The sequence below is a fragment of the Homo sapiens genome, chromosome 9 (genome assembly GCF_000001405.40).
Source record: "Homo sapiens chromosome 9, GRCh38.p14 Primary Assembly".
Classification (NCBI taxonomy): domain Eukaryota; kingdom Metazoa; phylum Chordata; class Mammalia; order Primates; family Hominidae; genus Homo; species Homo sapiens.
This window is the reverse complement of record NC_000009.12, coordinates 117,757,248-117,769,646: the sequence shown is the minus strand read 5'-3', so window position 1 is coordinate 117,769,646 and position 12,399 is coordinate 117,757,248. Positions and strand designations below refer to the sequence as shown.

General features: G+C 40.6%; 1 long non-coding RNA gene across 4 annotated transcripts in view, besides 1 other annotated feature; it reads right to left on the bottom strand.

Annotated features, from left to right (window-relative positions):
- Positions 1–10,190, bottom strand: part of LOC105376244 (uncharacterized) — a 111,773-nt gene extending 101,583 nt beyond the window's left edge. For 2 of the 4 annotated variants that reach the window (XR_007061906.1, XR_001746916.2), the window contains exons 1-3: positions 9,264–10,190; positions 8,198–8,504; positions 2,397–2,549 (exon numbers count right to left, since the gene is read on the bottom strand). This is a non-coding gene — a long non-coding RNA (uncharacterized LOC105376244). Of the gene's footprint in view, positions 1–2,396; positions 2,550–8,197 lie in introns of all 4 variants that reach the window. The other 2 variants (XR_007061905.1, XR_007061907.1) reach the window with 1 other exon arrangement.
- Positions 5,586–6,785: an enhancer, noted in NCBI's record as "P300/CBP strongly-dependent group 1 enhancer chr9:120525140-120526339 (GRCh37/hg19 assembly coordinates)". NCBI's record gives its function as "activates an origin of replication core promoter dependent on BRD2, BRD4, P300/CBP, MED14 and CDK7 cofactors, with strong dependence on P300/CBP, by STARR-seq in HCT116 cells {active_cell/tissue: HCT116}" and the evidence as "EXISTENCE:reporter gene assay evidence [ECO:0000049][PMID:35650434]".
- Positions 10,191–12,399: the final 2,209 nt, after the last annotated feature.

Below are 12,399 nucleotides of genomic sequence, written 5' to 3'. Positions count from 1 at the left end.
AGAGTGAGCTTTAATATATGTTAACAATTATTATTGTGATTTCAGTGAGATAGTACGCATGAAGGACATAGACACATGGTAGGATTTCATCATGTGGTAATCCCCACTCAGGAGATAAAAATCCTTCCACTCCCAGAGTTAAAGTCTATCAATAGAGACAATACATTGCAAGGAAATGGAATTTTTATCTCCTATAATCTAGGTGAATGCTTAATACCATCATTACTAAGGATTTACTTTTCATTTGTATTTCTTACACATCAATATTTTGTTCAGGAGAGCACCAGATCAGGAACTTGCGAATTCATCAGATAGAAAACTTTTGTTGTTTCTAATGAGGAAACCAATTCTTCAAGCCTTGTTAGAATTGCCAAACAGGGTTTCCTGCTGGGCAGCTTCATTTACTTGGCATCTCCTACTGAGAAACACCAGTACCATTCACAGATTGGGAAATGGAGAAGACAGACAACTGAATGAGAAATACCAACTTAAATGCTGAAATTTGTCACCACCTTCCAGAGAATAGGAACAGATCGTTTTTTTAAGAAAATGAATTTCAGGAGTTAGGCAAATTCATTGCATTTATATCCTCTGAAAATGTCAGAGCTAAACAATGAAATTTAAGAGCTCCTACAGTGGCAAAGCTGCAATTGATTGATAGCAGCTGCTGGGAGCAGTGAGGAGAGAGTGATTCTGAGGCTACTTCCTAGTTCAGTGGAAAAGTACTATAATCCATTAGTGATGCCTGCCATGGCCACGGAGTTGGACAGTGTTAGACCAACTTGCCATATTCTTTCTGTTTCTGATCTAGTCAAAATTCCTAATGCTACAGATGTTTTCAAATTCCCTACATTGGGAAAAGAAGGGTTTAGACTACGTTCATTTTGAAATGCCATTAGTACATGCAAATTTACTGAGACGTAAAGAGTTAAATAAATAAGAATGATTTGTGTATTCTTGGCAAGCAATTGGAAACTGCCAAACAGATTTTATAAACTCTTGAATAATGATGTTATTTCTTGGATAGTTTAAACCGTCTTTTCCCCATCCCCATTGGTTATTCTGTTTTTAATCTTTACTGCCTAGGAAACCTATTAAAAATAGGCTGACACTTGTTTAAAATCTTTACTAATTCTATAATAGTAAAGTGTACAAAGAAATTGAATTTTACCAAGAATTTGGGAATAAGCAAAATAAGCTAGCATGAGGTCACCACAAGAAAAATATATATGGCCGGGTGTGGTGGCTCACACCTGTAATCCCAGCACTTTGGGAGGCCGAGATGGGTGGATTGCCTGAGCTCGAGAGTTCGAGACCAGCCTGGCCAACATGGTGAAACCCTGTCTCTACTAAAAATACAAAAAATTAGCCGGGCGTGGTGGCGGGCACCTGTAGTCCCAGCTACTTGGGAGGCTGAGGCAGGAGAATCGCTTAAACTCGAGAGGCGGAGGTTGTGGTGAGCCAATATCGTGCCATTGCACTCCAGCCTGGGTGACAGAGTGAGACTCCATCTCAAAAAAAAAAAAAAAAAAAGAAAAATATATATGATTATTGTGGGCAGTCTTCTAAGAATTTTAACTTAAAGAGAAGTTTGGTTTTTTTTTTCAAGTCATTCATGGATTCATGGATTTTGTTTTTTGGTTCCTGTTTTTGTTGTTGACCTACTAATATAATACTAATGATAACAACTCTTTGTGTTTTTTAAGCACTCTCCCTTATATTATTTCATCTGACCTTCACATTAGCCTCACAAGCAAGGCATGATAATAATTTTTATTCCCATTTTACAGGGAGGAACTTGAGCTTCAAAGGTAACGGTTTGGAAATACCAGGGAAATCCTATTTTCTCTATATATATATTTCTCTCCATCTTGGGAAGGAAATTAGAGGTTGAACAAACCTAATGCCATTGATTTGATTCAAAATTTCAGCCTCACACATCTCTATCATCAACCCTAATATCCCTTGAGTTAAACTAATTTAGTATCCTAATAAATATTTAAATAGAAAATATTTAATACCCTAATACATAGGTTTAAGGCAAGTTGCAAATTGTCAAATGATTGATAAAAAACACAGGATTCTATAATAAGTAAATGAAGAAAGTTACTTTCAGTGGTGGATTCAGAGAAGGATTCATAAATGAGAGGGACTTAGTTTGATTCTCAAAATTAAATAAAACAAAAAGACGTGAGATGAAAGACATCTCAGAGAAGTTTCAGAAAAGTGGTACAAAATCCTTGTCTTGAAATTCAGTAGAGAAAAAGATCACATACAACTCCCTGGAGTGAAACAAACGGAGGGACATAATTGGAAAATGATTTCTGACTACTCATGTTTTTTAGTTATACCCATAGCTGGCATGTGGTCACAAGTGGTTCTACCGTGGCACTGACCTTGCTCAAACATACCACATGGTTTTTAGTGACAATCAGTCTTGTGTCTTCATCCATTTTTTTTGCCATTTGCTAGATGCATGCCTTTAAGCATATAACTTCACTCCCAGACTTCTTCTTTTCTTTTTTCTTTCGGCTTTTTGTTTAATTTTCCTGGAAGAAAAAATGATGTCTATTTCCCAGGGTTGGCGTAGGATCATGACAACCTACAAAGGGCACCTGGCATATAGCATGTGCTCAGTGCATTAGTTCTCATCCTTATTTCTTACTGTCACAAGCACCTATCTGACTCTAGAGGAAAGAAAATATTTGATTTTCTCTAAGCAGTACCAAGCCTGCAGATGAGAGTATCAGTACTGAAATTGAACTTCGTGTGTATGTGTGACACAGGGTTGAACATTTCATCAATTTCTAACATTGTTCAGCTAGAGATTTAGGGTAGATCTCCAGGAAAGCATGGAAGTGACTCTAAATTAAATCAACCTGGTAAATTGCTCAGGGATTGTGATGCCTTGCCACCAATAAAAATACATAAATAAATAAATCACTTCTAGTCTCTAATAGTTTACAGCTTGATCTAGCAGAAGTAATTTTTCAGAAATTTTACTAAATGCTCATTTAATGAGTGTGAGGGGAGTGGCACGATCTAGTATGTGTGAAAACAGATAACGCTTATTATACTAGACCCTATTTCTTAGAATAAAACTTAATGCATGTGGACTCAATGAGATTAGGTAAAAAGGGAAAACCTTTTGGGTTTCATGAAGACAAAAACATATACACATACATCTTTACCCATATCTATACTTAGATACATATGTATGTATGTACTTATATAAGTATGTATGCATGCATCTATTTTTTGAGCTGTATGTGGCAATTCTACCTACTGTACCAAAATATTTGCTCAATAAATATCCTCATAGCATAGATAAGAAACAATTATAGTTAACACACCAATTTATACTATGCATGTGGATATTTCTAAAGTACAGACAAGTAATTTTTGCTATTAAGCTGTTTATCATAGCTTGCCCCACAGTCATTTTGTTTGTTTTTGAGATGGAGTCTCACTTCATCACCCAGGCTGGAGTGCAGTGGTGACATCCCGGCTCACTGTAGCCTTTGTCTCCTGAGTTCAAGAGATTCTCCTGCCTCAGCTTCCCAAGTAGCTGACACTACAGGCTCGTGCCACCATGCCTGGCTAATTTTTGTATTTTTTTTTTTAAATAGAGTCTGGGTTTTACCATGTTGGCCTGGCTGGTCTCGAACTCCTGTCCCCAGGTGATCCTCTCACCTCGGCCTCCCAAAGTGCTGGGATTACAGATGTGAGCCATCACGTCTGGCCCTCACAATTATTTTTAATGCTATATAGTTTACTAAATAAAACTCTTTTACTAAGATCTGTAAAAGCTTAGTTTAGCCAGCAAGCTATACTGTACAAGTTGACCACAATTATGGATCAATGTTCAATCGAATGTTAGAATAAAATTTCTCTTTAAAGAGGTGACATGTTGATCTGCCATTACTGGTTAACATCATAACTTGAAGTGGTTTGCTAAATATCATCAAGTCCTTAGGAACAGAAAATACAAGGATAGATGATGTTTCTTGGGGAGGATGGGTGGAACATAAAAGCTACCTAGAGAAGGTCAAGTGGTTGGTAAGGGGAGCTTGTGATGGCGTTGATCGTCTAACGTGGAATAGGAATGGATAAGAGGAATTAGCTCTGGGAACAGAACTACATGATGGGCAAAGGGGCCCACTGAGTTTCTTTCACATATTCAACAAAATTTTTGAGCATATACAACATAGCAGTATGTATGTTTAAGCAATAGCATCTGCGTATAGCAATAGCAAATGTGAAAAGCAGAGTCCTTGCCTCTAGAGATTATGTGCAGTGCACTATCTCTAAAGGTGTGTGACCCCCCCACCCAGCATCATCAGTACCACCTGGGAACTTTTCAGAAATGTGAATTCTTGAAATCCACCCCAGACCTACTGAATCAGAAGCACCGGGGTGGGACCCTCTAATCTATGTCTTTAGGAGATTTTTAGAACCACTGGTCTAATGGAAGGGGTTCTATAACTTCTGTTCCCCAAAGCTATCCTGCCACAGAAAGTGTGAGAGGGAAATAGCTTAAAATGGCAGGAAAGTTATTGATAAACCTCCTTGATTCCTGCGTGTCTCTTTGCCTATGCAAGTCATTTGGTATATCTGTGATGTTGCCTGGTGCGTGGAGTTCCAAACTTTCCTGCTCACCAGAATTACTAAAGAGTTGTCTATTCATTCATTTACTCATTCATTTGTTCATTCATTTTTTTTTTTTCTTTGAGGTGGGTCTCTTTCTGTCACCCGGGCTGGAGTGCAGTGGCGCGATCTCGGCTCACTGCAAACTCCGCCTCCTGAGTTCAAGTGATTCTCCTGCCTTAGCCTCCCGAGTAGCTGGGACTACAGGCTTATGCCACCACACCTGCCTACTTTTTGTATTTTTACTAGAGACAGGGTTTCACCATGTTGGCCAGGCTGGTCTCGAACTCCTGACCTCAGGTGATCAGCCCACCTCGGCCTCCCAAAATTCTGGGATTATAGGCATGAGCCACTGCACCTGGCCTCATTTATTCATCCTACAAATATCTGGGAAACATTGACATTAGGCATTCATATAGGCATAAAGATTCAGTTGCAAAAAAGACAAGCATTATCTTTGCTGTTAAGGAGTTCAGAATCGAAATGGGATGTCAGAATATAAACAATAACATAAAATAATCATAAAAATTACAAAAGCAAAGAAAGTATTATAAGACAGTCTCTATGTGTTGTATTGGTCAGGGGTGCAACTTAGTCAGAGTCAGGAGGTACCTCTCTGAAGAAGTGATATTGAAGCTGAAGGATGAATAGACATTACCTGAGAAGAGAGACCAGCCTTAGCAAAGTTCTAGAGAAAGACAAAACGTCACTGTGTTCAGGGAACTAAAAAGGGCAAGCATGAGTAGAGTGAAGAGAACAAAGGAAAAGTTATTCTTGTTTGAGATTGAAATGGTATAGGTTGTTAGAGACCAAAGCCAGGTAGCTTGGGAGGACACAAAGAACAGGGAAAGGCGAAGACTCAATTCAAGTTAAGATGGTCACTATGGCCTCAAAAAAAAAAAAAAATGGATGAGAGCAGAGCAATGAAGGCTGAACCAGTTAGGATGATCTGCTGCTGTACCCCAAGTAAGTATCCAAGTGATCGATACTGGCATGATGGGGGTAGGGGAGTGTCAGGTAATGCAATAACATACAAAGCAGGGATCACTCCATTTAGAATGGGTTGTCACTCCCAGGAATGGCTTCCAAGCTATTAGGACCCAGAGATAACCCTGGACTTGGCAACTAGGTAGAGAGAAGGGGTATTCACCTATGTAAGTGACCTTAGGCAAGTCCTTGCTCGAAATCTCTCCTCCTTTCTGCCACCAATCCACTCTTACCCCTTAGTTTCTTCTTCCTAAGTGTTGCACTCCCACTCTTCTTTTAAAGTGCACATGCCCCGAGGAATTAAAGCTCTGAACAGTCTTTGAGAACGCTGAGCACATCAGTTCCTTCCTGAGAGAGGAGGGTTACAAGGTTCCTTGGTTACAAGGCTAATGCTCTGCTGTGACCCTGGTTTTCCTCTAACCCAGGTCAGGACAGGGATGTGATGTGACTGACACTTTTTACCCCACACATGGCCTCTGGTGACTGAAGGTTGACACTTTCACCAGCCCTCCCCCCAGGGTGCCCCGTCATCTCTCCTCCAAAGCTGACAGCACATTGGCATTGCTGACAAATGACTCATTTCCAGCCACATAAAATGGCTTCAATCTTCTTTTTTGAAGTCTCACAGATTACCTCCTCCGCCTCCTGCTTTTCTGACAACTTCGCTCCAGCAGTGCATTATGTTAAAAACCACACTTATTATGCCAGAGTGGGTCTGGCACGATTAGAGTTCAGTTTTTATAACAGATGTGGATATGCCTGTAATGACCTGCTTGGCTCAATGCTCCTGCAGGCCTGTGACCTGCACAGCTAGTGTCACAGGACCCAGTGTCCTCCCTGCAGAAATCCCATCTCCAGAGGGAGAAGAGACTGTCCCTCCTTCTGCACTCTTTTAATTCTATTTGAATGTGGGGTGCCACCATGAACTGTCACCCAAGTCAGAAACCAAGGTGTTCATTCAGATTTCTTCCCCACCTTTATCCCTCTTAGCCAGCCACTAAGTTTCCTTCTTTCTTTTGCTTTGGCATCTCTCCAAAGGCCCACTCGCATGCTCCTGGATCACACTACCATCACCCTTCTTTTAGAATATTGAACAATCCTCCATCCATATCTCTGCCTCCAGTCCTGCCCTTCCAAAACAGGCTCCAAAGTAATGGTTCTAAAATGCAGAATTATTCATCTACACTCACTGCTCTCAATCCTTTAATAGCATCTCACGACCTTGGGAGAAAGGCTTCAGCTTAGAATTCAAAGTTCTCTCTAAAGGCCTCTCCTGCTTCTTTACTCCAGACCACCTTCACCCAAAATCTGTTATGCAAGTAGGTATCAAACTATTTGGAGGTTCCCTCGTACACCCTACTCCTGGGTTCCTTTATAGCTTTGCTTAAGCTTGTTCTTACCTGGAATGCCTGGTTTTCCTTTTTCTTTGCCTCACTAATACCTTCTCATTCTGCAGGGCTTATTTCACCTCCAGGTAATCTTTCATGAAATGCCCTCCTCAAAGGTATTACGAGCCCCTTTTTGATACTAAAAGAGTCTATGTTCCCCTCTATCCTGCCATGAATCTCATTAATATATTGGTTCTTTTACTTGTCTTCTGTCCCACTGAACTATGTGCTCTTTGAAGGCGCAAGTGGTGCCTTAGGCAACTCAGCACACCCAGAGACATATAGAGCAAAAGGTAATTGACTATGGAACTCATCCTTCCAGCCTGCAGTTCAGCTTTGATGATGGTTAGTGTGTGCATCGTGGTCCTCCATACATGACACATTTTAGCATCTGCCAGCCCATTTAATCTTCACAACAAACCTATAAGGAAGTCATTTTAACTGATTTTACAGATGAGAAAACTGAGCCTCAGGGAGGTGGAATAACTTGCTTGTTTTCATGCAGCTAGGCAGAAGACAGTGCAGTACTGGCTGAGGGACATCTACATGGATTTGGGTAGGAAAACATAACTATAGAGCTAAGCCATGAAGGATTAGAAAGAATTTGTCAGTTGGAGTAGAGTGGGGTGAGTGGGAAGGTTATTCCAAGAAAACAAAAAGTGTATTTCTAAATATCGACATCATCATGACAAAAGCACAGAGCTATGAGGGAGAGATGCGGTTACAAATAAAGTCCTAGTCTGAATACATTTCTACCAATTGCTAGCTGTGTGATCTGGAAGAGTTGCCTAACCTCAGATTTTTCTTATATAAAATGAGAATAATAAAAGCTCCAAAGCCCTTAGATTAATATGCAGATACAATTAAATACATGTGTATTATGTATTATATAACTCTGTGTGTGTGTGTGTGTGTGTGTGTGTGTGTGTGTGTGTGTGTGTGTGTATCTTCCTAAGAAAATACTCTGACAAGCAGCAATGGCTCAATACATGTTAGCTATTTCTAGTAATGCTATTCCAATTATCTACTGTTATGAAAGAAACTACTCCAAAGCATAATATTATCAAATAACCATTGTTTTGTGCATCACAAGACCTCAGCTAGAAGAGTTGTCTCCAACCTATGCAGCATGAACTGGAGCACCCACTTCCTGGATGACTTCTTCACTCACTCACCTGGTGCTCATGGGCTGGGTTGTCATCTGTGTAGGAAAAAGGTGGTACTTGTCAGCCAGGTATCCAGCTCAGGCTGTTGACCAGGGTAGCAGCAAAGACCAGATTGATCAGGATGTTCTCTCCATGTGTCTCAGGCTTATCCCTGAGTCGCGACTTGTTTCCCAGAGAGGAAAGAGACATGAGCAGAATCTGCAAGGCTTCTTATGAGACAGCTTCAGAAGTTACAGAAAGTCCCTTCTGACAAATTCTGTTGGTCAAATAAGTAGGACAGCCATCCCAGATTCCAAGGGAGACAATTAGATTCCACCTTTCAATGAGAGGTTGACAATGAATTTGTGGCCATCTCCAATACACCACACAACTGGTACTACTAGCAGTGCTACTAGCACTATTATGACATTCAGAAGTGACTGCAGTCATTCCACTGCGATGAGCATATAGAGTGCACATAAAAAAGGGATGACTGGGGGATGAAGCCACTGAGAAACTGCTACACCGACATGGTAGAGTAGAAGCAGTAACATTCTAGTCTCTTCACTACATCCCACAAAGCCAGTGAGAACTAAGCAAGTGAATTTCCCAACCCCAGGGGGTGCATGTATAAACCAGGGAGTCAGAAGCTACACTCTGAAAAAGAGTGAGACTACTAGGAGCATCCCTGGGATTTCTTTTCTGACTCACCTGAAATGAAGCAGCCAACTCTCCCTAGCCTCTTTCTTTCTCTTACCTGATGGAGGTCACACTGAGTTATTTTTCCAAACTTTGGAGGTAAGAGAATGAAAGGTCTCAGCTATCTTGGCCATCACAAGCCAGAGTTACTCATGGGGAACAAGGCAGGAAGCATAAAGAGGACATAGCAAAGCAGATGTTGTACATAAAAGACACTTTCTAGCACAATGTAGTTCACATTTCTTCCCTTACTTACTGTGCTGATTTTTTTTTAACCATATGGGTTTTTGTCGCCACAAGATATGTATGACCTCTTTTCTCAGTTCATTGATCTGGTAACACACACACACACACACACACACACACGCACACATCTTTGGGGCTGACCTGTTCTTACCTGTTAATTCTATTAATGTCCCTGTTATAAGGCTACAGTCGAAGAGAGAACTATATAATTTAATGATATCTCCTGTACTTCTCTTCTTTTTCTTAATTCCTGACACCAATAACACACACAAAATTAAATGCATTTTTAAAAGTACATTCAAAGACATCCTTTCACACACATATATATTTCATTCTCAAATGTATCCCCATTTGGATGATAAATTACATGATTGCCTAACTTTCGAACATAAAAAGTACACTCCTCTGCAAAACATACCATTCACAAACAAACACACAAACACAGAAACACACTGAATTCCCCTTCTCCTTGCAAATACACACAGATAACCAACCACTCTAAAATGCACACACAAACACACATACACTCATAATAACACAGAGATGCCCTCAATTTCTAAATGCACACTTTCAAATCCTTGCCTAAATCATCCTCCCCAGACAAATAGCACACACCCATTCACATATTAATACTAACAGACTCTCATACCCACAAACATGCAAGAGAGAAATCTAGGAAAACCAGACACACACAAAAAGAAAAAATATATAGAGAGACATGTAGACTAATGCACTCTCTTCAGTATTCCCTGCACATATGACACCTCTAAGGAGGCTGTTGATACGTCCTGGACACACAAAAATGCCCGTGTTCAAATGAACTCCTCCACACCCACATACTACAGACAAATCCAAGCATATCCTTTTTTTAATTGTGGTAGAATCAAGCATCTACTTTCAAATACAAAATCACACATAGACTATAATAAATAAAACATATTCAGGCATAATTATACACACACACACACACACACACACACAACTTCTGGCCTTAAGTTCTCTTCTTCCACCAACACTGTCTCTCATTTCGTCTTAAAGCCCAGCCTTCACTCAGAAGATCATCTTTATGGAAATCTTCCCATAAACAAAAAAGTCCTCCTTTTTAACAGAGCTGTCCTAGTGCAGACAATCCCTCTGCCCTAGATGGCTCCTGCCTCCCTCGTGTCCCAGACTAACTGCCCTGGCCACCAACAAAGACTCTAGAAACACTTTTGCAATTCTTTAATTGGCCTCAATTTAGACAGACTAATAGCTCTAGAAATCTCAGAGGACAAAAAGATAACACTTAATAAGGATGACTGCTTAAAAAGGAACAAGGACATGTCCTTTGCAGGGACAAGGATGGAGCCATTATACTCAGCAAACTAACACAGAAACAGAAAACCAAACACCGCATGTTCTCACTTTTAAGTGGGAGCTGAACACATGGACACAGGGCAGGGAACAACACACACTGGGGCCTGTTGTTGGGTGGGTGGGGGGCAGGGGGAGGGAGAGCATGAGGAAAAATAGCTAATGCATGCTAGGCTTAATATCTAGATGATGGATTGACAGGTGCAGCAAACCACCATGGCACACGTTTACCTATGTAACAAACCTGCGCATCCTGCACGTGTATCCCTGAAGTTAATATAAAATAAAATAAAAAGGACGACTGCTAATACTGAAAGCAAAGGGCCAAGTGCTGAGGGAAACAATTGAACCTTGAGTCAGGACATCGGCTCTAGTCTTATCTCTGCCACAAATTTGCTGGGGGACCTAGGACAAATTCCTCTCACTCCCTGGCCCTTGTCTCTTCACCTGTGAAATTAAATTTTGGACATGAGGTTCTGTTTTCTAAGATCTTAAAGCTGTAATCCAAAGTACGTGAACATTTCTGGACCAAAAACTGCTAGCAGGTAACAATTGTTATTTTGATTAGAAAAGGGCACTGAATCCTTCTGCTTAAGTCGTATAGGAAAAGGTGTGCAAAATTTGGAATTAAAAAAATCTCAGTTCAAATTTTTTCTCTGACCCAAATTAATTAAATAAATGCTGTTTATTTAGCAGTTACCTTGCACCAGGTGTGGTGCTGAGTACAGGACAAGAGACTCACCTGAAACAATCTCTTGTCTTTGCAATTTAGGCGAAAGAATAAAGAATAGGACATCAACAAAGAATCTGGGTATAAATTATTTACAAGCTGTGAAAGAGATATTTCGGTCATATTATCACACCTTAAAAAATCACCTTTCATCTGTTTTTTTCATGATTCCACTTTTGACTCTGGCTTACACACATCTTGACTTACAAAAAGCTCAGGGCAAGCTCAAAAGCTGCTTCCCAACTCATCTATGTTTTGACAATGAGCCTCTATTTGTGATATGGCAGGAAGAGCTGAGCAGCCCATAACCTGTTCTTGAAGTTGTGCAGTACTGCACAGCACTGATACTAATTTCATTACTTTTATTCATCCAGCCTTGGGTACTTCAGCTTGTTGGGTTCCAGCCGCGATTAATTGGTAGAGCTCCCACTGACTTCTGATTAGCTGCTTTTAATTAGGGCCTAATGACTTCATTTGGTCCCTAATTCAGGGGGATGAGTTGCAAAACTGCCTGCAAACTGCTCAAACAGAATTACATTTTTCCAAGCCCTGAAGACATCACTCAAACTCTGCATACACAGTATTCTCCCTCCCTTGTTCCTCTTCCTATTGCCTCTGGACCACCCTGCACAGAAGCATGACAAAAAGGAAGCTTGTGACCCAGCTCCTGGCTGCTAGAGCAGATGTCACACAAAAAAGGCCTGGAAGTTGACAGGCTGGCTCCTAGGAGGAAGTCACCCCCTACAGCACTAACTCCTGCCCAGCGCCTAAAGGAAAGGCTTGGCATGCAAGAGTTTTTGAAGTCTTCACGTGCCACATTTGCTGCTTGCCTTCTTCGGAACAAGATACTCTCCTGATCTTTGCCTTAATATTCTGCTACAAACACCTGAAAACCTTCAAGCCTTCAACCTGTAACCCATAGCAAAGGTCAGAAAACAGAGAAAACAGTTTCCACCCCAGAATCCAAATGGACAGTTGCTGCTGCTGGTCTGTGATACTGGCTCTGACTTCCGAGACCACAGATCCTAACATTCTGTACTAGGGAGCAAGATAGTCACAGATACTCAAATCCTCTTGGGGTTCATGTTTAATATATAGATACCCAAGCTTTGGAGGCCCATCTCAGAAGGTTGTTTACTTTAACATTCTATTCTACAGATTTATTTATTTTTCAAAAGTAAGCAATTTGACAAACATTTATTTA